At 40.3% G+C, this 26,927-nt stretch overlaps 1 protein-coding gene and 2 pseudogenes across 10 annotated transcripts in view; 1 reads left to right on the top strand and 2 right to left on the bottom strand.

Annotated features, from left to right (window-relative positions):
* RGPD2 (RANBP2 like and GRIP domain containing 2) overlaps positions 1–26,927 on the top strand; it is a 233,859-nt gene that overhangs the window by 158,468 nt on the left and 48,464 nt on the right. For 7 of the 10 annotated variants that reach the window (XR_007081580.1, XR_007081581.1, NM_001078170.3 and 4 more), the window contains exons 1-7: positions 5,555–5,693; positions 12,728–12,792; positions 14,374–14,485; positions 14,930–15,082; positions 19,145–19,375; positions 19,721–19,866; positions 24,460–24,655. Coding sequence is in view for 8 of the 10 variants with exons in the window: in NM_001078170.3 (NP_001071638.2) it covers positions 5,622–5,693; positions 12,728–12,792; positions 14,374–14,485; positions 14,930–15,082; positions 19,145–19,375; positions 19,721–19,866; positions 24,460–24,655 (975 nt within the window). In the remaining 2 variants the exon portion in view is untranslated. Of the gene's footprint in view, positions 1–5,554; positions 5,694–12,727; positions 12,793–14,373; positions 14,486–14,929; positions 15,083–19,144; positions 19,376–19,720; positions 19,867–24,459; positions 24,656–26,927 lie in introns of those variants that run through there. The other 3 variants (XM_047445734.1, XM_017004845.2, NM_001393613.1) reach the window with 2 other exon arrangements.
* On the bottom strand, positions 5,985–6,247 carry MTATP6P28 (MT-ATP6 pseudogene 28; annotated as a pseudogene).
* Positions 6,208–6,409, bottom strand: MTATP8P2 (MT-ATP8 pseudogene 2; annotated as a pseudogene).

Here is a 26,927-nt window from a genome sequence, read left to right as displayed (position 1 = left end):
AACAACATATATGTTAGATATTTTAATGTGCTCACATTTTCCTTACACTGTGTCCAGTAAAAAAAAATCATTATTGCCCTGTGCTTCATATTGACTATTTTCCATTGATATCTTTTCCATTTTACTAATTTGTCTTCTGCCATGTCCTGTTTGCTGTTAAACATATTTTATATGGCCTAAGTTTGAGACACTGCATTTTTAATCTCTAGAATATTTATTTGGTTATTTCTCATGAATCCAATTATTTAAGTTACCATACTTTCCATTATTTTATTGACTATTTTCATTGTTTCATGCAAAAACATATTTCTCGTGTTTTATTTCATGCAAAAATAACTTTAATTTTAAAGCCTGTGTGGTAACGCAACTATGTTAATGTGCTGTAGGTCTTTTTCTACTATTTGTGATATGGTTTGACGGTGTCCCACTCCAATTCTCATCTTCAACTGTAACTCCCATAATCCCCATTTATCATGGGAGACACCAAGCAGGAAGTAATTGAATCATGGGGGTGGGTTTTTCCAGTGCTGTTCTCGTGATAGTGACTGTTTCATGAGATATGATGGTTTTATAAAGGGCAGTTCCCCTGCACATGCTCTCTTGCTTTCCACCATGTAAAACATGCCTTTCTTCCTCCTTTGCCTTCTGACATGATTGTGAGGCCTCCCCAGCCATGTGAATCTGTGAGTCCTTTAAACCTTTTTCTTTATAAATTACCCAGTCTTGTTATTTCTTCATAGCAGTATGAGAATGAGCTAATACAGTCAATTGGTATCAGTAGAGTGGGGTACTGCTATTAAGATACTGAAAAATGTGGAAGCAACTTTGGAACTGGGTAACAGGCAGAGGTTGAAAGAGTTTGGAGGGTTCAGAAGAAGACAGAAAAATGTGAGAAAGTTTAGAGCTTCCTAGAGACTTGTTGGATGGCTTTGACCAAAATGCTGATAGTGAAATGAACAATAAAATCCAGGCTGAGGTGGTCTCAGATGTAGATGGTGATCTTGCTGGGAATCTCTAGATAGATTTCAGAGGATGTATGGAAATGCCTGGATGTCCAGGCAGAAGTTTTCAGCAGGGGTGGAAAATGCTGTGAAAGTACCCAGGAGAGAGCCTGTACCCTGCAAAGTCTCAGGGGCAGAGCTGCCCAAGGCTGTGGGAGCCTACCTCTTGCATCAGTGTGACCTGGATGTGGGACCTTCAGTCAAAGGAGGTCATTTTGGAGCTTTAATATTTAACAGCCTCACTGAATTTTGGACTTTTATGTGGCCTGTAGCCTGTTCGTTTTGCCATTTTTTCCCATTTGGGTGTATTTACCCAATGCCTTCACCCCCGTGTATCTAGGAAGTAACCAGCTTGCTTTCGATTTTACAGGCTTGCAGGCCGAAGAGACTTGCCTTTTCTCAGATGACACATTGGACTGTGGACTTCTGAGTTAATGCTGAAAGCAGTTAAGATTTTGGGGGACTGTTGGGAAGGCATGATTGTGTTTTGAAATGTGAGAAAATGAGATTTGAAAGGAAGGGGTGAGGGGCAGAATGATATGATTTGGCTGTGTCCTCAACCAAATATCATCTTGAATTTTAGTTCCCATAATCCCTACATGCCATGGGATGGACCTGACAGGACTCAACTGAATCATGGGAGCGGGTTTTTTTTCTCTTGCTGTTCTTACAATAGTGAATAAGTCTCATGAGACCTGAAGGTTTTATAAAGGGCCGTTCCTCTGCACATACTCTCTTGCCTGCTGCCTTCTAAGACTTGCCTTTGCTCCTCTTTTCCCTTCCACTGTGATTTTGAGGCCTCCCCAGCCATGTGGAACTGTGAGTCCATTAAACTTCTGTTTTTTTGTTTTTTTAAATTACTGTGTCTCAGGTATTTCTTCATAATGGTGTGAGAACAAACTAATACAACTTGTTTACATTGTCTTTTTTATTGGGTTCTAGACATCTAATGTTTGCATTTTACCTTCCCAACAAGAAAACAGATTGACACAACTGTTCTAGAAAGTAATGTGGCAAAAATAATCAAGTAATATGGTAATAAGAATATTTAAAATATCTATATCATTTAATTTTCTACATGCATTTCCAGGAATATAATTAATGAAAATTAGTAGAATTATTAAAAAATATTTGAGTACATGTATCTTCACTGCAGCACTGTTAAAGCAATTTTAAAGTAGAAAGCAATGGAAATGTTCAAGAAATGAATAAATAAACACACTATAGTCCCTTCTTGTAATCAATTACCATGTGGTCACAAAAATTAAATTTTCAACAATTATTAAAGAAGAAAGACAAGCTTGCTGTCACATATTATATAAAGCATCAGGATATACACTGTATGACTGTACATGCATTTATCTATAACTGTATATCAGCTGGATCACTTTGTCTTTTCGGAATAAAAATAAATTGATTTGCAACAACTTTCTTTTTATCTTTGGAAAGTACAAAGATTTCCTCAAGTTTACCAGGTACTAATTTTTTTTCTGACATTCATGATTCTAACATTTTTATCCTAATGATGTCTCAATCTCATTTGCATCTCAATTCCCATGGAGATTTTCTTTTATCTGCTACATACAGACATACAAACAACTAGAATAAAATATATTAACATTTATCACTGAATTTGTTTTGGTTTAAAAATCTTCAACTATTTTTATTTCATTCATTATACTTGTCAATCATTTTACAATGACACTATTGTATTTTAATCAAAATATTCTTTAAAAAACAAGAACAAAGAATCATTGATGGGAATTATGAAGAAAATCACTTAATTGAAAATATTTACTAGTTGGTAGTTTTAGTCAAATTAACACGAGAATCCAATTCATGATTTACGTAAGCAACTAGAAAATTTAATCAGAAATAATTAGTGTAGTGGCAAAATGTAAATACACATTCCCCACCAGTTAGTCAGGTATGGTTTCTGAAAGCATAGATACAGGAAAAAAATCTTCATTATTTAGACAAGCACAGAAAGTGAGCATAAGCAAATACACACATACATACACTCACACACATGCCTTTTATGAATTAATCAGGCATGAAAAGTGTAACATGTGTGTATCTTATACATTTGCCACGATCATACTGTAACCATACACAAAGATACATGCATAAAAACACACATAAAATTTCTCTGGTACTTTTGCATACATAGTTGTCATCATCTGCACTAATGGAACTTCTTAAGCATTTCAATATGCTGCAATCAGAGGTATAAAATTTGAATGTATTCTGTAGTAATATTTTTAATTCTGAAGTAAACTGTGAGTCTACATATTTTCTCACACAAATTCGAGGAAGAGTACCTAGAATTCAGCAGGGCTGTGAAAAAGCATACCATAGATTATTTTTTCAGATAATTGAGCATTAAAGTATTCTCTGGGGTGTATAGCACCAAAATTGTTTTTCCGTAATAAAACAACTTTAAAAAACAGTAAATTAGTAAACATATATTATAACTAAGTATTTTACAAGCACAAATTTTAAAATAAAGAAATATTTCTAAAGGTTTGCCTATGTTTAACCATTGCCAAATGAAATGACATTTCTCACTTTCTTTTTGCATGGAGAGAAAGGTAGAATGAGCAAAATTGGAGCTCAAGAAAAATTTGTTGATTGAATTATCTTAAATCAGAAAAACAGTTGCATTCTACACCAGATAACCAGAAACTTAAATGACGACATCAAAATTCTATCAGCTGATGTGATACGTTTGTAAAAACAATGTAAACTAAAGTAAGGAAATATATGAAGCCAGGATTTATTATTGCTGTCTACATACTAGGCAATATAAAGTGTGCTTCATGTGACTTGTCTCATTTAATTTCTCAGTAACCCTACAGTTAAGGTACTTTATTATCCAAATTTTATAGTAAAAAAATGAAGGTTTATAAAGGTTCAGTTACTTTTTCAAGGTCAAAAAGCTGAAAGTGAGAAAGTTGGAATTTGAACCCAGGTTATCTCTGATTTAAAAGTTTTTTTTATTCTACTATGGAAATCTCCTTCTGCCATACAATAAGATATAACAAAATTATCTTTGTTACTATTTTTTTGCTAACCATAAACCTCAAGGGGTAGAGGAATATAAACATTCTCAACGGGCATCCAATACCTTTAAAATCCATTTTTTCACACACACATGCACACGCATACACACATTATTCTTTTTAACTCTTACACTTCCTGTCAATCTCATTTTTTGGAAATTAAATAGGTATACAGATAAATTAGACAAAGAGAGCACGAGAGAGAGAGAAAGAGAGAACAGAGAGAAAGTCTTTCTGAGTTTGGCATTCTAGTAGGAAGAGGCTATATTAGATTAGATTCTACTTCATTCTTTAATCCCTGCAAGCATCATTTCCACAGGATTCTTGGTGCATGGGTATTCAGCATTAGAATGAACACTTCGTGGGACTTTATGCAGCCACCTGTTCCAATACTATGCACTATTAGAAAGTTATTCCTTAAATTGAATAAAATTTTTCTACCCTATGACTTTCTTCCCTTAATGTTAGTTATACCCTCTGGGCCTACAGAAAAAAGTCTATTCTCTCTTCTGCATGACAGCTCTTCAAATATTTCAACACAACTGGCATGGTTCTCCTTAGTTTTCTCATCCCCAGGCTAAACACCCACAGAAGATTATACTGTAGCATTAATATCTCCACCTTGCATTTCTCTACACGCCCACATGTCTTCTCCTTTGTTACTTTTCTCTAAAACAGTGGGAACAATGAAAAATTATGACATATATGAACTTAATTACATAATCTCAGTCACCTCCTACTTCACTCCCCCACATAGCTTCTTTGCAGACCTTGTAGTGAAGTGCTGTAGCATTTAGAGGAAAGAAATCATTCAGGAATCATTTGTAAACCAACAAGGTTTATTTTAACCCTAAAAATCATAGAAATGTAAAAGACAAGCACATTCTAGAATTAATCATCATTCCCATTGAAGCTATTCATGGTAGCAAAGACTAAATAAATATATGAAAATATTTTATATTTTAAAAATTGTAATGAATTTACAAAATTTACAGGAGCAGATACAGTAACAGGAATCAGCTATGTTGCTACAAGTATATTTTAGAATCAGATTTCCATTTGAATTTCAATTATGCCATTTACTAGCTGTGTGTTCCTATAGACTTTACAAGTAGTATCTGAGTCACAATGTCTTTACAAAGAGAAAATAATTCTTAACTGAGATATTTACTGTAAAGATATAAACAAACCTATGTATAGCAGATTGGAACAAGTTCAGCTTATCTGAAAGCATACAAATGAAAATATTGAAATAAGCAAATGAATGGTTTACAGCACCCGCCTCGGCCTCCCAAAGTGTTGGGATTACAGGCGTGAGCCACGGCGCCCGGCGGGCAAGACACCCTCAGAGCACAGGGTGCTGCCAAGAGCCCGGCCGAGTGCAGCTCGAGCGCCGACGTCGCCAAGGATACACAGTGCTGACGCAGTACACAAGTGCGTCACAGTGGTCCTCCGCCGGCTACGTCAGTGGCTTTCAGGCGCTTTCCTGTTGGAATTGGCGACTGCTGCGGGGCTGAGCGCTGGTTTCACGCGTCTCGGGAGCCAGGTTGGCGGTGCGATGAGGCGCAGCAAAGCCTACGGGGAGCGGTACCTCGCCTCGGTGCAGGGCTCCGCCCCGTCGCCTGGAAAGGTGAGTGGATCTCGAAGAGACCGACGGCCTCGACCTGGCCGGGCGGCGGCCTCGACCTGGCCGGGCGGCGGCCTCGACCTGGCCGGGCGGCGGCCTCGACCTGGCCGGGCGGCGGCCTCGGCCTCGGCCTCGGCCGGGCGGCGGCCTCGGCCTCGGCCTCGGCCGGGCGGCGGCGGCGGCGACGGCGGCCTCGGCCTCGGCCTCGGCCTGGCCGGGCGGCGGCGGCGGCGGCGGCGGCGGCCTCGGCCTCGGCCTGGCCGGGCGGCGGCGGCGGCGGCGGCGGCCTCGGCGTAGGAGCCCGAGAAGATTAGTTGTGGCAATAAAAATGATTAAGGATACTAGTATAAGAGATCAGGTTCGCCCTTTAGTGTTGTGTATGGCTATCATTTGTTTTGAGGTTAGTTGGATTAGTCATTGTTGGGTGGTAATTAGTCGGTTGTTGATGAGGTATTTGGAGGTGGGGATCAATAGAGGGGGAAATAGAATGATCAGTACTGCGGCGGGCAGACCTAGGATTGTGGGGGCAATGAATGAAGCGAACAGATTTTCGTTCACTTTGGTTCTCAGGGTTTACTATAGTTTTTTATTTTTATGGGCTTTGGTGAGGGGGGTAGATGGTAATTTGTATTTAATATTTTTAGCTGAGTGATGAGGAATAGTGTAAGAAGTATGGGGGCAATTATGGTGGGCCATACGGTAGTATTTAGTTGGGGCATTTCACTGTAAAGAGGTGTTGGTTCTCTTAATCTTTAACTTAAAAGGTTAATGTGCGGCGGCGGCGGCGGCGGCGGCGGCCTCGGCCTCGGCCTGGCCGGGCGGCGGCGGCGGCGGCCTCGGCCTGGCCGGGCGGCGGCGGCGGCGGCCTCGGCCTCGGCCTCGGCCTGGCCGGGCGGCGGCGGCGGCGGCGGCGGCGGCCTCGGCCTGGCCGGGCGGCGGCGGCGGCCTCGGCCTCGGCCTCACCTCTCTTACACTTAGAGTCTTTTTTTTTCCCCCAAATTTAAAGTCATTTACATTAGAACCTGGGGATTTCAACGGAATATGGATTAACTAGTGAGTAACTTTGGAACATGTGAAGCTATTCTGTAAAGTTAGGTTTGAGTGAAATGACAAAACAGGGTGCTTTGGATAGAAGGTAAGGAATGGAGGGAGAAGAGGCAGTGGCTGTGAAGAATATAAAGAGGTTAGTATTCTCCCCCAGTTTGGCAGAGGCTGGCCATCTGTGAACTGCCCATGCTTTCTAGAATGTCTGAGTTTTGGAGTGTGATGATGCGTCTGTATATCATATCTTTCTAGTCTTCCATTGTGCTTTCATTTGTTAATCTTCTCTTGTTTTGCCATTTTTCTACTCCCTCACATGTGCTTTTGCCCTTCTTAAAAATATTCTTCGTCTGTAATCCGAGCACTTTGGGAGGCAGAGAGACCAGCCTGACCAACATGGTGAAAATCCGTCTCTATTAAAAATACAAAAATGAGCCGGGCGTGGTGGCAGCGCCTGTAGTCCCACCTACTCGGTAGGCTGAGACAGGAGAATTGCTTGAACCCTGGAGGCAGAGGTTGTGGTGAGCAGAGATTGCGCCACTGCACTCCAGCCTGTGTGACAGAGCGAGACTCTGTCTCCAAAAAATAAAAAAATAAAAAAATATATAATTCTTTCTCTAGTTTTTCTTTTTCCAGATGGCTTCTGTTTAGTTTTTCTATGTTCTGTCAAGTTGGTTTCTTATTCTGCAGCTGATTCCTACTTCTCAAACTCTACTTGACAGCTCTTATTTTTATTTATTTGTTTTTTAGAATAGGGTCTTGCTGTGTTGTCCAGGCTGCCATCAAATTTTTGGGCATAAATGATCCTCCTACCTCTGTTGCCTGAGTACTTAGGACTACAGGCAGGCACCTTTGACAGCTGTTAGTTTTTTTTTCTGCCCTTTACATCTATACTTCATGCTTCTGAGTAACACACACATATACTTTTGTTATTTTGAATTCCCTTTCTCCCATTTTAGACATTTTGTTTTCTTTTTTTTTTTTGAGACAGAGTCTCGCTCTATGGCCTAGGCTGGAGTGCAGTGTCGCGATCTCGGCTCACTGCAAACTCTGCCTCCGGGGTTCACGCCATTCTCCTGCCCCAGCCTGTAGCTGGGACTACGGGCACCCGCCACAACACCCGGCTAATTTTTTAGTATTTTTAGTAGAGACGGGGTTTCACCGTGTTAGCCAGGATAGTCTCGATCTCCTGACCTCATGATCCGCCCGCCTCAGCCTCCCAAAGTGCCGGGATTACAGGCGTGAGCCACCGCGCCCGGCCCCACTTTAGACATTCTGTACTGGCTATTATGCTCCTCCAAAACTGTCCTCAGACACTTTGCTTTGCCCCTCATTGTTTCAGTACTGTTATTGGAGTTTTTGTTTAAATGAATATTTAACATTTATATAAATATAAGGTAAATATTTTGCATTTGAATTGCCCTTGTTGTGCAGTTTTGTTTTTCCTGGACTGAATAATTGCTTTATTTTTTGGTTTGCTTGTATGTTGTGTTACTACTTGGTTACTTAAACTCAGCAACTTAAACCCTCAAATGTGGTCAAACTGGTCACATAATCCGATCAATTTCAGCTTAAAACATTGATTGATTGATTGATTGATTGATTGTCTGTCTACCTGGAATACCCTTACTAACCGACTTCTCCAACCCAGATTGGTTTTTCTTCCTCTTTGCTACACAGCTGTGCTCTTGGGACTTCCCTTTATCACCAGTTTGAGAATTCCCTTCATCTTTTTTCTGAGTTAGACCCTTTGTTTCTTGTATCTCATGTCATCTTCATTTACTTTCTTTGTTTTGGTGTAGCATAGTTCACTTGCTTTGAGGAAAAGTGGATGAGAGGTTTTTTTGTTTGTTTTTGTTTTGGGACAGAGTCTTGCTCTGTTGCCCAGGCTGGAGTGCAGTGGCATGGTCTCAGCTCACCACAACCTCCGCCTCCCGGGTTCAAGTGATTCTCCTGCCTCAGCCTCCCGAGTAGCGGGATTACGGGTGTGCGCCACCATGCCCGGCTAATTTTTTCTATTTTTAGTAGAGATGGAATTTCACCATACTGTTCAGGCTGGTCTGGAAACTAATGGTATGTCTTTAAAACATCTTTACTTAATTTAGTTGATCATTTGGTTATCGAATTCTGAGTTTGAAATAATTTTTTTCGCAATTTTGAAAGCATTGCTCCATTTTCCAGAAGTTCTGTTGTTAGGAGTCTGATGAGAGTCTTGTTCTTGGTAACAAAGGTTTTCTGGAAGTGTCCTTTCAATTGGGAAACTCATTTCTTTCAGTTCTGTAGCGTTTCTTGTATTATTTCTTTGACCATTTCTTACCCTTTTTTTTAATGATGTTTACCTGAAAGCTGGAGTTTCTCTAATTTTTCTCTTATTCTCCTCTTTTGTTTGTTCTGCCTTTTGAGAGATTTCCTTACCCTTATGTTCCAGGGGAAGAAGACTGGGGAATTCATGTTTCAGTATCTAGACTTTTCCTCATTGTCCTGTATAATCACGGCCTTCACCCTTGTTGGGACTCCACAGATTTGGAGCTGATCAGATGGGTTTGTTGAGAACAGCAGCTTTTTTGGAGGATTTTAGGGGGAGGGAGATTCATTTGACTGTGCAAGATGGGCGACAGAGCGAGACTCCGTTTGAATTAAAAAAAAAGAGAGAGAAATTTAGAACTGCATAATGAAAAAGTAGGCCACAAATGTTAAGTTTTGGACAATTACAATTACATCTCTATCTTACTGTGCAAGATAGCGATGATGTGGCATCTCTTAGGGTCTTACTGTTCCTGTTTTCAGCCCTGCATCAGTTCTTGATATTTGGCAGCTTAAGTGAATTCAGGTATTTGCTTATAGTGACATCTGCTGTCATGTAAAGAAGTACTGCTTGAATCAGATATTGTCCTGTTTACATAACGTGGGCTGTGCTCCTTCCTAGCTGTATATCTTTAAACAAGGCATTTGCCTGCTTGAGCTTCAGTTCCCTTGTAAAGTGAGGTTAGAGGCAAAAGATCATACAGAAGAATAATTTGTAAAGTTGTTTAATTATCTTAAGATTGTCTACTTTAATAACATAGTTGGAAGCAAAGAAGGTAATGGAATTATTTTTCTATTATGTTTTGGCATTGTACCTTGAATCTATTTCTTCATTTTGAAAAGGGGGAACTGGCCGGGCTCGGTGGCTGAGGCCTGTAATCCCAGCACCTTCGGAGGCGGAGGAAGTCAGATTACAAGGTCGAGAGAACGACACCATCTGGCCAACATGGTGAAACCCCATCTCTACTAAAAATACAAAAATTAGCTGGGCATGGTGGCGTGCGCCTGTAGTCCCAGCTTGTACCCGGGACGCAGAGGTTGCAGTGAGCTGAGATCGAGCCACCGCACTCCAGCCTGGCGACAGAGCAAGACTCCATCTCAAAAAAAAAAAGGAAGCGGGGAACAAGCCTTGTTCCTTTATGTGCTGTCCTGACTGTTGTGTATTATTTTTGTTAAGATTGCTATAGTTCTTTTTTTTTTGAGATGGAGTCTTGCTCTGTCGCCAGTGCTGGGATTGCAGGTGTTAGCCTGGCATTGAGCAACGTTTTGTAATTTAAGCATACAAGTCTCTCACCTCCTTGTTTACATTTATTCCCAGGCATTTTTTTCATTTAGATGCGATTGTAAATGGAATTGCTTTCTTAATTTCCTTTTCTGATTGTTCGTTGCTGGTACAGTAGTCCCTTCTTATCCACAGTATTGCCTTACGTGGTTTTACTTACCTGCGTCACCCGTGGTCCAAAAATATTGAATGGAAGATTATATAAATAAACATTTCATGAGTTTTAAATTGCAAACAGTTCTGAATAACATGATAAAAATCTCACAGCCTCCTGCTCCGTCCTACCCAGGACACGAATCATCCCTTTGTCCAATATATTCATGCTGTATGTGCTCCCCACCCGCTAGTTACATACTAGCCATCTCAGTTATCAGATCAGTTGTTGGAGTATTGCGGTGCTTGTGTTCAAGTAACCCTTATTTTATTTAAAATGGCACCAAAGAGCAAGAATAGCGATGCTGGCAGTTCACATATGCCAGAGAGAAGCCATATAGTGCTTCCTTTAAGTGAAGAGGTGAGTTTTTGACTTAGGAAAGAAAAAAGATCGTATACTGGGGTTGCTAAGATCTACGGTAAGAACAAATCTTTTGTCCATGAAATTGTGAAGAAGGAAAAAGAAATTTGTGCTAGTTTTGTTGTGACACCCCAAACTGCAAAAGTTACAGCCACAGTGTGTGATAAGTGCTTTGTTGAGATGGACAAGACATTAAATTTGTGGGTGGAGGACACAAACAGGAAACATGTTTCGATTGATGGCAACCTGGTTTGATACTGTTCATCGTTTTGGACATTCACTGGGGTCTTGGAATTTCAAAAATAAGATGTTTGAGTGGCTGTATACTCTTTATCACATGGATGGAACATACTCTGGTTGTATCAGCTTTTTTTTTTTTTTTTTTTTTTTTTGAGATGGAATCATTCTGTTGCCCAGGCTGGAGTGCAGTGGTGCGGTCTTGGCCCACTGCTGCCTCCCGGGTTCAGGCGATTCTTTGCCTCAGCCTCCCAAGCAGCGGGGATTACAGGCGTGTGCCACCATGCCCAGCTAATTTTTGTATTTTTAGTAGAAAGGAGGTTTCTGCATGTTGGCCAGGCTGGTCTCGAACTCTTGGCTTCAAGTGATCCACCCGCCTCAGTCTCCGAAAGTGCTGGGATTACAGGTGTGAGCCACCGCACCCAGCCTGGTGTGCATCAGCATTTTGGACTTTGGAGTTTACGTAACCAAGGAGCCAGGCTGTGGACCTTGTTTATTACTTGAAGAATTCAATATTTATTTCTGCCTTTTTGACTCCTTGACTGTAAAATACTGATCTGATCTGTAGAGAGAACAGTACATGTACTATTAAGGCACAGGGAATCCTCAGTGCCTTAATAGATCGTAAGTACTTACTTATTCTTTCCCATAGAGGCTTACACATGGTAGGAGAAGAGATTTCTGGAATACCTTTCCTCCCCAAAGAAAGCTGGTTTCTTTTGTTTGTTAAGTGAGAGAGTGGTACCACAGGGTTTCCAAGATTTCCAAGGCTGATGAAAATTCTTAACTTCTGTTGTCTGCTTGTCTTGCTTTCTTGAATTTATTTTTTGTATGTTATGTATTTATTATTTAGAGACAGGATCTCCCTGTGTCACCCAGGCTGGAGTGCAGTGTCACAGTCATAACTCACGGCAGTGTCAACCTCCTGGGCTCAAGTGATTCTCCTTCCTTGGCCTCCTGAGTAGCTAGGAACACAGGCATGCTCCACTATGCCTGGCTATTTTTTTCCCCCTGGAGACAGGATCTTGTTGTGTTGCACAGGCTGGTTTCAAACTCTTGGCCTCAAAGCTAGCCTCCCACCTTGGTCTCTGAAAGTGCTAGAATTAAATAGAATTAAAGGTGTGACCAACTGCACCCAGCTTATTTATGATGACGATGATGATGATGTTTGGGAGATGGAGTCTCTGTCGCCCAGGCTGGAGTGCGATGGCACGATCTCAGCTGACTGCAACCTCTGGCTCACTGCAACCTCCACCTCCTGGGTTCAACTGATTCTCGTGCCTTAGCCTCCCGAGTAGCTGGGATTACAGGCACCCGCCATCATGCCTGGCTAATTTTTCTATTTTTGTAGAGACGGAGTTTCACCATGTTATAACGCCAGGCTGGTCTCAAACTCCTGACCTCAGGTGATCCGCCCACTTCGGCCTCCCAAAGTGCTGGGATTACAGGCATGAGCCGCTGCACCCAGCTCTATTTTTTGTTTTGTGATAGGAAATTATAAAACATGGAATTATGCATTTGTCAGGCTTTAAAAAAAACTTTTAAGTGAATGAAAATGGCATATTTGAACATAAACTTAGGGCAGATTTTTACTACTTTTGAAAAAATGTTGGAAAATATTTCTGTATGAAACGTAAAACAACTTTTAATTTTTTTTAGAAGTTGAGAGGATTCTATTTTGCAAAGCTGTATTATGAAGCTAAAGAATATGATCTTGCTAAAAAGTAAGTACAAACTGTAACATGTATTCTTTTTTTAAAATCAATGCCTTTTCTCATTTTCTTCTTTGAAATAGGTAAAAATATGTTCTTAGTAGTTCTTCCTAAGTGTATTCTGGAATAAGGGATTTATCACTCAGACTGATGCTAAGGACCAGCCTAGATTCCATTGAGATTGAAACCGTAATTAGTGTTTTCTGCATGCTGCTGCTTTATACCAAGGGCAAGAAATTGTTTGGCTTAAAACACTTTTTCTAAAAATTGTCTTCTGTTGGAGTAAAAGAGGACCATGCCTATATCTTCATTTGTTTTTGGTTAGATATCTGATACCTTAATCAGATGGAAAATAGCAATGAATAAAAAACTGTAATTGTAAGGCAGGAGAATAGCTTGTATAAAAGATCTTTAATTGACACAATATGTGATGCTCTAAGGCTCTATCCTAGGGATAAGAAGCTTGGTGATTCTGATTTCCTGACTGGGAGTGGATTAAAGCAGGAAATTAAGAGGGAGGCAGGGTTTTTTTTTTTTTTTTTTTTTTTTTAGTCAGTATCTGTCTCTCTTGCTCAGGCTGGAGTGCAGCAGCTGGCTCCATCTTTGCTCACTGTAACCTCTGCCTTCTGGGCTCAAGAGATCTTCCCACCTCAGCGCCCCAAGTAGCTGGGGATACAGATGAGCACCACCACACCTGGCTAAGGTTTGCATTTTTTGGTAGAGACAGGTGTCACTATGTTGCCCAGGCTAGTCTTGAACTTCTGAGCACAGCAGTCTGCCTGCCTCGGCCTCCCATACTGTTGGGACTACAGGTGTGTGTTACTGCTCCCAGCTGGGAGGCAGGCTTTTAAAGGCATCCAAAGGAAGATGGAAATGCTGGTAAGAAAGGAAAATGGTGGTACATAAATTATGTAACTAGCAGCACTGTGACTGTTAACTCTTGTACCTTTTTACTGTGAGACTTTAATCCCTTAGTTTGGGTCTGGCCTAATTTCTCTGATGGTAATACTGTCAAGGAACCTAGAGGATATTTACTTATTTTAGTTGTTACTTGATTTGAGAAATGGAAATTTCCTGTATTTGGTACTGTAATTAGTAATTTGTCTTCTGTTCGATTTTAGCTGGATATAGTACTGTTAGAAATTACTTTCTTGCTTAAAGGGTAGGTGTATTTCCCTTTGTTGTTTGGGAAATTGTTGCTGTTTAGTATTTTGCATTATGATAACTTTAAAAATGTTTACTATAATCACTTCTAATTTATTTGCAAAACTGTTAGTGCTTTATTAAAATGTGATCAGGAAGAAAAAGCAATTTATATGTTCATTTCTTATGCGTGGATAACACTGGAGAAAAATTTGGTAAATGTGACATTTAATGGTAAAACGAGTATGTGGTCAACTCTATGTACGTGTTTTTAAGTATTACCCATTTCTTTCTATGAATACTTCTGAGTTATCTGCATAAATAGTGGTAGTTTTGAGTAACAATATAAACGAGTTTAGTGGTTGCTTTGGTTTAAGATGTATTCTTCGGTTAGCATTTAAAAGTACAGTTCTAAGTTTAATTTACTTTTGTATTACTTTTGAAAAACAGATACGTATGTACTTACCTTAGTGTGCAAGAGAGGGATCCCAGAGCTCACAGATTTCTGGGTCTTCTTTATGAATTGGAAGAAAACACAGAGAAAGCCGTTGAATGTTACAGGGTAAGTTATAGGATTCAAATATAGCCTTTGCATAGCCAAACACATGATGCCCAGAGAAATTTATATAAGTAAGTCAAATATATTTTATGAATATCATAAAACAGGCATTGGTATCATAGTACAATTATGTGACACAGCTTGGAACAGATTTAGAATTGTTTAACACCTATAAATTGTAAGTCTAACATGGTCAGAAATGGTGTTCTTTTGTGTTCTTTTGCATTCAAATGACACAAATATAATTTTTATTTGATTCATTTCCAGAAAATTCCAAGACACTTTTATTTTAACACCTTTGAAGTAACATGTTTTCTCTAGAAGTAGAATTTTTTAAGGGTTGGAGTGATAATTTTTAACCTTTATATATAAGTATATAAGTATATATACTCCTACATACATACATACAATTTATTTACTAATCTTTAATTTCTTTTCTGATATTAGCGTTCACTGGAATTAAACCCACCACAAAAAGATCTTGTGTTGAAGATTGCAGAATTGCTTTGTAAAAATGATGTTACTGATGGAAGAGCAAAATACTGGGTTGAAAGGGCAGCGAAACTTTTCCCAGGAAGTCCTGCAATTTATAAACTAAAGGTAAACATACAAAACATAAAGGGAGAAAACTTAAGACATAACCATTTCTAATATTTGGAGTTTAAATTACTTTTCAATAGCAAACCTTAAGCCCAGGTGTTTGTGTTTCCTTTAACATTTTTCTTTTAAAAAGTGTATTAAAACCTTTCTGAGCATCTGCTGTCTTATTAGGCATTGTTATACTTTATAAGTGACATCTCATTTACCCTTCTGGAATAATTAATATTTTAGGGATTTTACAGTTTAGTAGCTGTAAACTAAGTAGAGCTAAGATTTACATTAAGTTCTGTCTGGTATACAATTTTTGCTTCATTAAGTGAAAATTACCTACAGGATGACAATTTAGGGATATTTTAAAGAAGAGTTTTCTAATAACTATGGTCTGAAAGTAGAAGGGATTGTATTTTGAGATAGTAAAGTTTTCAAGGAAAAGATAAAAGGTGGTTTCTCTAGTATATAAGATGTAATTACTAAAAATGGTAGGAAGTTCTTGCTAGTGTATTGACTGGTCCTGATATTCTTTATAGAGCAAAATATAGTTTACTAAGTAACTGTTCTGGAGAAAATCTACACAAATATGTTTGGCAAACATTTAAAATGTATATTGTAATATTTTATATATTAATGTATACTTTATTGTGTATGTACAATATAAAATTATAAATGTATATTTGCCTTTAGCCTCCTCCTACCCCCATTGTATATGTTTCTGATAGAAATTTAAAAAATTTTAATTTTGAAATAATTATAGATTTTTTTGCACAGGAAGTTGCAAAGATTGCACAGAAAGATCCTATATGCTACTTCATTTTTCCCCAATGCTTATACAGGTTGAGCATTTAAAATCTGAAATCCTAAATGCTCCAAAATCTGAAATTTTTTGAGCACTGACATGATGCTCAAAGAAATGCTCATTGGAAAATTTTGGATTTCAGATTTTCAGATTTGGGATGCTCTGCCTGCTAAGTATCCTGCAAATATTCCAAAGTCTGAAAAAATTCAAAATCTGAAATACTTCTGGTCTCAAGCATTTTGGATAGGGGATACTCAACCTGTTTAACCCGACCAAAGCACAATATCAAAATCAGGAATTTTGACATTGGTACAATGTGTATGTATATAGTTTTCTTTCATTTTATCATGTGTAGATTCATACCACCACTACTGTCAAGATACAGAGCTACTCTATTACCACAGAGATCTTCCTCATGCTGCCCCTTTTGTAGTCATGCTATTTACTTCTCTTCACTATGCCTGACCTCTGGCAACCATTAATCTGTTCTCCATCTTTATACTTTGGTGATTTCAAAATGTTATGTAAATGTCATCATGAAATGTGTGACTTTTTTTTTTCTTTTTTCGTTGTTTTTGAGACGGAGTCTCGCTCTGTTGCCCAGGTTGGAGTTCACTGGCGCAATCTCGGCTCACTGCCACCTGTGCCTCCCAGGTTCAAGCAATTCTCCTGCCTCAGCCTTCCGGGTAGCTGGGACTACAGGCACATGTTACCGTGTCCCGCTTATTTTTGTATTTTTGCAGAAACGGGGTTTCACCATGTTGGCCTGGCTGGTCTCGAACTCCTGACCTCATGTGATCTGCCCACCCCAGCCTCCCAAAGTGCTAGGATTACAGGCGTGAGCCACCGCGCCCAGCCAAGCATGTGACCTTTTGAGGTTGGCTTGTTCAGTCAGCATAATACCATTTGTGATCCATATTAAGTTTTGTATATCCATAGTTGGTTCCTTTACTTCTGAGTAGCATTTCATGGTCCACAATTTAACCATTCACTTTTTTTATTTTTATTTTTTTGAGACAGAGTCTTGCTCTGTCGCCCATGCTGGAGTGCAGTGGTGCTATCTCGGCTCACTGCAACTTCTGCCTCCCGGGTTCTCAGGTGATCCACCCACTTTGGCCTCCCAAAGTGCTGGGATTACAGGTGTGAGCCACTGTGCCCAGCCTTAACCATTCACTTTTGAGGGGCATTTTGGTTATTTCTAGGTTTTGGCTGTTGTTCAACTGCTATGAACAATCATGTCCAGATTTTTGAAGCTGAAAAAGCATTGAAGATGCTTCCAAAGATAAATATTACTGATAAGTTTTTCTCCCCAGTAATAAGCAGCTGGATTTTAAATATTAGTCTAAAACATGAGGTCTAATTGTGCAGATTTCTTTACTCTCTTAGGTGTTATGCCTCAAACATAACTCCCATATTGGGCGTGGCAATCCAGTTAATCTGGTGTCAGTAGTGTTAAAGAACATATGTAATGGCAGGAGATTGTTTTCTTGCAGTGTAACAAGTTAGATACTTTGAAGCACTCTTTAAAGATTTTCTTTAATAACTTGAAGGCACTGTTAACACCTTTCCTGTATCAGATTTTTTTTTTTTTTTGGAATTGAAATCCATGAGATTTATAATTGTCATGCAAAGTAATTCCATTTCTCCTAAAATTTAAGGCTTGCTAAGGTAAACAGTTTCTGACATTTGTTTAATGAATGAGAGTATTACTGTTGAGAAGGCTTTTTCTCTCAAGTATGAGATAGAACTTTTTAAAAGCACTCATAGTGGTTTTTTAAAAAATGTTTAACATAGAGTCAAAGACTAGGGCTTTTGCAATAGGGAGAGACCAGGGTATCATCCATCTCATCCAGAAGAGGAGAAATTGATAAAGGAGAGAGGGGAATGAAATACAGAGTAGTAATGGACGGCTTGGTCTTGAGAGCTGGGGAAAGACGAGTTTAAGTAGGTAAGGTAAAATGGAATTTATATGTGATAGCATCAGGTTTCTCAGTGAAGGATGAATCTAGGTTATAAGTTGAAAGTGAGGGTCAAAGGAAGGTATGGGGAAGTTGAGGAAATAGGAGGAGGTGTGAAGTGTCAGGGAGTGGAGAAAGTGAGTCTGTTAGTACTAAAATGGCATTTTGTTTTAGGCAGCACCAGTTTGATGGTTGAGATAATGCAAATGAAATCGGTTAGCTTGGGGTTATGATTTCCCAAATCTAAGCACACAGAAACCAGTTGGGAGGGTTCTGAGGAAAAGAGGGAATTAGTTGAAGGGATCTGTAAGCAAACAGTAATTATGGATATAAGGGATTATAGCATTTTTTGCCTGACAGAAGAAAGTGTGTGTATTTATATGTGTTTACAGGTGCTTAAAACTTGATGATGTTATTGTCTTGAAGGGAACTTGTCATGTGGTGGAGAAGTATATTTCTGAAAGTAAGGGTACGTAGGCCCTCAGTGAGGTGGAAGAATAAGAAGGATGGTATGGTCGTTTCGGTGGTATGACCAAAATGCAGATTTTGAAGACCTGTGTCAGTGGCAAGTGGATGGTTGAGGTTGGAGTAGAGGATAACATGACTGGAGATGAGGTGATTAAGGAACTGAGTAGTCAGCTTGGGCAACACGGCAAGACCCCATCTCTACAGAACGTTAAAAAAAAATTAGCCGGGCATGGTGGTGCATGCCTATGGTCCTAGCTTCTTGAGAGGCTGATGGAAGAGCATCGCAAATGAGAAGCGAGTGGCCACAAACCCTACTTCCTCTCCTTGTATGTAAGTTCAGAGAGAAAAAGCCATCATGGTAGTGGGGGTTATCCTGAGATGATACTGTCTTCATTTAAGATCAGGAGGTGATGACAGTGCTTTGAGATGATGATGAAGGTAACAGAACAGTGGGAGGAGAGGGGATGTGGGATTGAGTCAGATTTAAGGAGATACAGAGCAGTTTGAGCATAAGGACCTTGTTGCTGAGGATTGACTGGGGAGGTCTAGGCTTCTGGTGGTGACTCAGATGGACAGGGATGTGTGGCAATAGTCCTGGTAGTCTCTGAAGAGAGTATAAGCTACTGCAGTAATCACAGATGCTTTTCTTCACATACAGTTCTTGAGGCTTAGTTTCTGGGTTGTAAGCAACTCTCAGAAGGGACGAATAAGGTATATAGGATGGTGTTTTTGGTGGCATCATCATAAAACTAGACATAGTGGAATGGTGCTTTTTGGGAGCATGACTTGTTTAAAATTGCACAAGTGTTACTCTAATAATTTTTCTTTTTCCCCTCTAAATAGGAACATCTTCTAGATTGTGAAGGTGAAGATGGATGGAATAAACTTTTTGACTGGATTCAGTCAGAACTTTATGTAAGACCTGATGACGTCCATATGAACATCCGGCTAGTGGAGTTGTATCGCTCAAATAAAAGATTGAAGGATGCTGTGGCCCGCTGCCATGAGGCAGAGAGGAACATAGCTTTGCGTTCAAGTTTAGAGTGGAATTCGTGTGTTGTACAGACCCTTAAGGTAGATAAAAGCTATTGGGTCTTTACATTTCTATGTAGGCAATTAGCATACATCTTTTTGTACTAAAGCAGCAGTGCCCCGCAGGACTTAAATTTCTTTTATTTAGGTAGAACAGTTATAAAATGAAATTTTTACCAGGATCAGTTAAATTTATAATGGGAAAGTTGGGGAGATAACTATGATAAATGTATATATTTTTGGTGTTTTCATTTATAAGGTTGATGTAAAAATCAATGTAGTTTCACAAACGTGGTTAGAGTGAGAAAAGGAATTTGTAGGCATAAAATGGTTAATTTCTTAACACTTGATTAAGTTTTGTAACTTACTATTCATTCCACAAAATAGGAATATCTGGAGTCTTTACAGTGTTTGGAGTCTGATAAAAGTGACTGGCGAGCAACCAATACAGACTTACTGCTGGCCTATGCTAATCTTATGCTTCTTACGCTTTCCACTAGAGATGTGCAGGAAAGTAGAGAATTACTGGAAAGGTGCGTTGACTTTGAGGAGAATGCTTTAGTATAAATTGTAGTTTTTCTTTTTGCAGTAAGTTCATTGCTCTAAATTTCTTTACTGCATCATTATTTCTATAATGTACCTAGGAGTTATAGTTAATACAGTGAACCACTAGGAGGCAATCTTATTTTTCTTCTTTTACGGGGAAGTTCTAATTGGTTTTATATGACTTTCCTTTTTAGAGAACTCTTATAGTTCAAGCTTGATTAAAATTAGCCTTATGGTTAAATACTCAGGTTTGTCATAGTCAAGCTTAAAATGAATGTTCTAACTGCTATTTCATATTTTATTTTTTATAATAGTATAATCTTGAGTGAAAATTAAGGTTCATCTGTCATCAGATGGCTAGGTTCACATGTACTAGTATAAGCACTTAGCATCACTGGTATTTCAGAAAATACTGTTTTAGCTAAGAAACAAAATAACTCAACTATGTGATTTACCTTTTTTCCTAAATTTTGATTTTGAAAACCAGTGTCTCCATTTTGAAAATAAATTCCATTGAACAAAAACATCACTTGGATTTGTATAAAAATGTTAGTTTAGAGCAGGGGTTGGTTAGAACTTGTGGGCCAAATATGGCCCCTGCCTAATTTTGTTAATATTTATTGGAATGCAACATGCCTCTGTTTATGTATTGTCTGTGGCTGCTTACATACTACAAGGTTGGAATTGAGTGGTTGCAGCAGAGATTGTATGCCTGTAAAGCCAGATTAGTAATCTCCTCCTTTTTGTAGAAAAAGTTTACTGATTGCTAGTTTAGGCTGTCCATTTGTTTGGAAGTTAATTTATTTCCCCATCTGGTATAAGGAAAGAAGTTCATTTCACTGAGTGCAGGGAGTAGGTAATTTTCTTGAAAAAGTACATAGTGTCCTAAATTGGTAGGGTAAGAGCAGTATCTAAAAGAACTAACATAACTTTAAGATTATTTTAGAAAACATGTAGGATGTTTTATTTTGTGTTCTTTGTATACTCAAATTTTTTGGTCACAAGTTCCTTTTACATTTTTCTTAAGGACATCAAAGATCTTTGTATGTGGGTTCCTTTTTTTCTTTCTTTCTTTCTTTTTTGTTTTGTTTTTTTTTTTTTTTTTGAGATGGAGTCTTGCTCTGTCACCAGGCTGGAGTGCAGTGGCATGACCTTGACTCACTGTAACCTCCGCCTCCCGGGTTCAGGCGATTCTCCTGCCTCAGCCTCCTGAGTAGCTGGGACCACAGGCGCACACCACCACGCCCAGCTAATTTTTGTATTTTTAGTAGAGACGGGGTTCAGGATGGTCTCAATCTCTCTTTTTTTTTTTTTGAGACTGAGTCTTGCTCTCGCCAGGTTGGCATGCAGTGGTGCAGTCTCGGCTCACTGCAACCTCTGCCTCCTGGGTTCAAGTGATTCTCTTGTCTCTGCCTCCTGAATAGGTGGGACTACAGGTGCCCGACACCACACCTGGCTAATTTTTTTTTTTTTTGAGACAGAGTCTCGCTCTGTCACCCAGCCTGGAGTAGAGTGGCGCAATCTCGGCTCACTGCAAGCTTCACAATTTCCTCTCAATGCTCTGAATAAGAGCTTATCCTCCTGCCTCAGGTTGTTCCCCACCAGGAAGCCCCAGGAGGGCCCTGAGGACAGCCCTTGGCCCTCAGAGGGGGAGGCTCAGGAGGGGAGATGACCATGGGGATGGAGTCACTCAGGGGAGAATCCGGACCATGAGGGGGTGACTTGGGGGCCTGAGGGGAGGACCCTGAGGAAGATAAAAAGCTGGTGCCACCCTAGGCAGTTTCACAGTGTGGCTTAGGGTGGTGGGTGACAGATGGTTTGTCAGATCAGTTAATCAGGACTCATGGGCCCTTTGTTACCCCCCCTTGTGAACCTCCCAGGTTCACGCCATTCTTCTGCCTCAGCCTCCTGAGTAGCTGGGACTACAGGCGCCCACCACCACGCTCGGCTAATTTTTTTGTATTTTTAGTAGAGACGGAGTGTCACCCTGTTAGCCAGGATGGTCTCGATCTCCTGACCTCGTGATCTGCCCTCCTCGGCCTCCCAAAGTGTTGGGATTACAGGCGTGAGCCACCGCGCTCAGCCCACACCTGGCTAATTTTTGTATTTTTAGTAGAAACAGGGTTTCATCATGTTGGCCAGGATGGTCTCGATCTTTTTTTTTTTTGAGACGGAGTCTCGCTCTGTTGCCCAGGCTGGAGTGCAGTGGCGCCATCTCGGCTCACTGCAAGCTCTGTCTCCAGGGTTCACGCCATTCTCCTGCCTCAGCCTCCCGAGTAGCTGGGCCTACAGGTGCCCGCCACCACACCCAGCTAATTTTTTGTATTTTTAGTAGAGATGGGGTTTCACTGTGTTAGCCAGGATGGTCTTGATATCCTGACCTTGTGATCCGCCTGCCTCAGCCTCCCAGAGTGCTGGGATTACAGGCATGAGCCACCGCGCCCGGCTGGTCTCGATCTCTTGACCTCTTGATCTGTCTACCTTGGCCTCCCAAAGTACTGGAAGGTCTCAATCTCTTGACGTCGTGATCCGCCTGCCTTGGCCTTCCAAAGTGCTGGGATTGCAGGTCTGAGCCACTGCACCTGGCCGTATGTGGGTTATTTCTGTCAGTGTTTATTACATTAGAAATTAAAACAAATAAAAAATGTAATCCATTAAAAATGTAATAAGCCCTATTGTGTGTTAATAATAATAGCTTTTTTTTTTTTTTTTTTTTTTTTTATTTGAGACGGAGTTTGCTCTTGTTGCCCAGGCTAGAGTGCAACAGTGTGATCTCGGATCACTGCAACCTCTGCTTCCCAGGTTCAAGCGATTCTCCTGCCTCAGCCTCCCAAGTAGCTGGAATTACAGGTGCCCACCACCACGCCTGGCTAATTTTTTGTATTTTTAGTAGAGATGGGGTTTCACCATGTTGGCTAGGCTGGTCTTGAACTCCTGACCTCAGGTGACCCACCCGCCTCAGCCTCCCAAAGTGCTGGAATTACATGTGTGAGCCACCGCGCAGGGCCAATAATAGCATTTTTTATGAAAAATAATTATTTTCCAACAGCAAAAAAGTAGTCAGAAAAGTGTCATTGTTTTTGCATTTTTGTAAATCTTTTTAATGTCTCGCTTAATAGAACATAGCTAGATTCTCATTTACTTCCTCTTTCAGTCTGTAAAACTATTACATGTCATGAAGCCTCTAGAAAACTCAGCTCAGCGGGTCGCGGTGGCTCAGGCCTGTAATCCCAGCACTTTGGGAGGCCGAGGCGGGTGGATCACGAAGTCAGGAGATCGAGACCATCCCAGCTAACAATGGTGAAACCTTGTCTCTACTAAAAATACAAAAAATTAGCCGGGCATGTTGGTACGCGCCTATATTCCCAGCTGCTCGGGAGGCTGAGGCAGAAGAATCGCTTGAACCTGGGAGTCAGAGGTTGCATTAAGCCAAGATTGTGCCACTGCACTCCAGCCTTGTGACAGAGTGAGATTCTGTCTCCAAAAACAAAAACAAAAAAACTCAGCTCTACATACATGAGAAAATGAGTATGTAATATATAAATTTTTTTTTGGTATTATTGTAAAAGTAATTTTAACTTCATGGATCCCCTGAAGGGGTTTTTGAGCACCCTCAGAGATCTTTAGACCTCATTTGCTCTGGTTGCGTTATTGTAAGCCACTTTAAAATCATGCTTCACGTTTAAGTGTTTGCTTTTTGCTTTTACTTTTCTTCCAAAGTGAGGATTTGGAGAAACATTAGGATTTAGAAGAACTAATTTAGAATATAGATTACAAATAATAGGCCAGGCATAGTGGCTCATGCCTGTAATCCCAGCACATTGGTAAGCTGAGGCGGGCGGATCGTGAGGTCAGGAGTTCGAGACCAGCCTGGCCAACATAGTAAAACCCTGTCTCTACTAAAAATATAAAAAAAGTTTAGCGGGGCATGGTGGCAGGTGCCTGTAATCCCAGCTACTCAGGAGGCTGAGTCAGGAGAATCACTTGAACCTGGGAGGTGGAGGTTGCAGTGAGCTTAGATCGTGCCATTACACTCCAGCCCAGGCGATAGTGAGAGACTCTGTCTCAAAAAAAAAAAAAAAAAAAAAAAACAATTTAACGCTGTAATGATCTATATAGTAAAAAGAGCAATTGCTGTATTGATACTCAAATACCTGTCAGTTACTTACTTATAATTTGGAAATGGTATGTCTAATTTGAGAAATTACAACTGTTAATTAAATAATGAAATTATATGATCAGGAAGAAACTACAAAATAGTCTCCCAACTTTATCCTGGTTTATTTTGAAATGTGCACCTATAATCACTAATCTTATATTTATCCTGTGATTGGAGGGCTGGAAATAACTGGGAATAAGACATCATTTGAGAGGTTAAGCATGAAGTATAGGAAGTATGCAGGATAAAAATAAGCATTAGATGATTCATAATTTATAACATGGGGAATAAGAATTATTAGAAGTTGAATGTGGAAGATGAAGCTTGAAATAAAATTTTTATTTTGTTTTGAATTAAATGAACCATGATTATTCACAGTGCAGTAAGTGTGTATCATCTGTTTGATATTTTCATATTACAGTTTTGATAGTGCTCTTCAGTCTGCAAAATCTTCTTTGGGTGGAAATGATGAACTGTCAGCTACTTTCTTAGAAATGAAAGGACATTTCTACATGCATGCTGGTTCTCTGCTCTTGAAGATGGGTCAGCATGGTAATAATGTTCAATGGCAAGCTCTTTCTGAGCTGGCTGCATTGTGCTATGTCATAGCATTTCAGGTAAGTCTTCCACTTGTAGGAGCAATTGACATTTCACGGAGTCTTGATGTGTTTTAAATGAAGGTGTGCTCTGGTATGTAATGACAATATGTGAACAAACTGTGGAATTAAAATGAAATAGTCAATTTGATACAGTGGAAAATAACTAAGCATACACAATACTGGTGAGGCTGGTGAAACAGGGATGTTGAGTGCACTCTTGTCGAAAGCCTGCATTGCCATGATTTGTTTGTAGACAAATTTGAAGAGTTTGATCTTTTTACTCTGCCATTTTTGGGAACATGATAAAGATGTAATCTCGTATTATGGGTAAAGCTTGATTCAAAAAGGTGTGTTACTTGGACAAAATCCTAATAAGTAGATGTAGGGCAATGGCTTTATAGCCTATGATAGAAGAATATGATTGCAATTTAACATGTTAATTGAAACACATGTATATAACATTTATGGCTGTATTGTGTATATGTAACAGTATATCTATTAATCTTTGAAAACATAAAACCTTTTCTTATTTTTTATTTTTTTATTTTTTTTGAGACCAAGTCTCTCTCTGTTGCCAGGCTGGAGTGCAGTGGTGTGATCTCGGCTCACTGCAGCCTCCACCTCCTGGGTTCAAGTGATTCTCCTGCCTCAGCCTCCCGAGTAGCTGGCACTACAGGCCCGTGCTACCAAGCCCAGCTAATTTTTTGTATTTTTAATAGAGATGGGGTTTCACCATGTTGGCCAGGATGGTCGCAATCTCTTGACCTCGTGATCTACCTGCCTTGGTCTCCCAAAGTGCTGGGATTACAGGCCCGAGGCACTGTGCCTGGCGTGCCTGGCCTTTTTTTTTTTTTGAGACGGAGTCTCGCTCTGTCGCCCAGGCTGGAGTGCAGTGGCACGATCTCGGCTCACTGCAAGCTCCACCTCCCGAGTTCACACCATTTTCCTGCCTCAGCCTCCCGAGTAGCTGGAACTACAAGCGCCCACCACCATGCCTGGCTAATTTTTTTGTATTTTTAGTAGAGACGGGGTTTCACCGTGTTAGCCAGGATGGTCTCAATCTCCTGACCTAGTCATCCACCTGCCTCGGCCTCCCAAAGTGCTGGGATTTACAAGCGTGAGCCACCATTCCCGGACTTTTTTTTTTAATGAGCTTGCATAACTTTTGAAAGGAAAAGAAATAAGCAGTCTTCCAAAAAAAGCATTAAACCAGGCTTAGAAAAATGATTAATTTTAGAGAAGGATTTTTTGCTTGGGGAGGGAAAAAAAAGGATTCATTACTTTTAGAGAAGGCCCCTCCTTCTAATATAAATCTTTTTTTCTTTTTGAGACAGAGTTTTGCTCTTGTTGCCCAGGCTGGAGTGCAATGGCGCCATCTGGCTCACTGCAACCTCCGCCTCCCGGGTTCAAGCGATTGTCCTGCTTCAGCCTCCCGAGTAGCTGGGATTACAGGCACACGCTACCACGCCCATCTAATTTTGTATTTTCAGTAGAGATGAGGTTTCTCCATGTTGGTCAGGCTGGTCTTGAGCTCCTGAACTCAGGTGATCTGCGTGTCTCGGCCTCTCAAAGTGCTGGGATTACAGGCAGTGAGCCAGCATGCCCTGCCTAATATAAATCTTTTTATTTTTATTTGAGACGGAGTCTCGCTCTGTCACCAGGCTGGAGTGCAGTGGCGCAATCTCAGCTCACTGCAACCTGTGTCTCCTGGGTTCAAGTGATTCTCCTGCTTCAGCCTGTCACGTATCTGGGATTACAGGCACACACCACCATGCCTGGCTAATTTTTTGTATTTTTTAATAGAGATGGGGTTTCACCATGTTAGCCAGGATGGTCTCGATCTTCTGACCTCGTGATCCACCCGACTCGGCCTCTCAAAGTGCTGGGATTACAGGCATGAGCCATTGAGCCTGGCCTGTAAATCTTTTAAAAACACCGTTGATAGACAGTTCACATGTTAAATGCTAATATTGGCTCAGTAGAAACTTCTGTGTTCATAAGGAATGGATTAGTGAAAATTAATGGATTTAGTGAGGTTCACTAGGTAATACAAACATTAAAAGGTTCTTATAGAAATTCTCAAGTAACTGATAGTTCTTATTTTTATTTATTTTATTTTTTTTTGAGATGGAGTCTCACACTCTGTCGCCCAGGCTGGAGCACAGTGGCACGACCTCGGCTCACTGCAAGCTCCGCCTCCTGGGTTCACGCCATTCTCCTGCCTCAGCCTCCCGAGTAGCTGGGACTACAGGCACCCACCACCACGCCTGGCTAATTTTTTTGTATTTTC

The sequence above is a fragment of the Homo sapiens genome, chromosome 2 (genome assembly GCF_000001405.40).
Source record: "Homo sapiens chromosome 2, GRCh38.p14 Primary Assembly".
NCBI lineage: Eukaryota > Metazoa > Chordata > Mammalia > Primates > Hominidae > Homo > Homo sapiens.
This window is presented reverse-complemented; position numbering and strand designations above follow the sequence as displayed.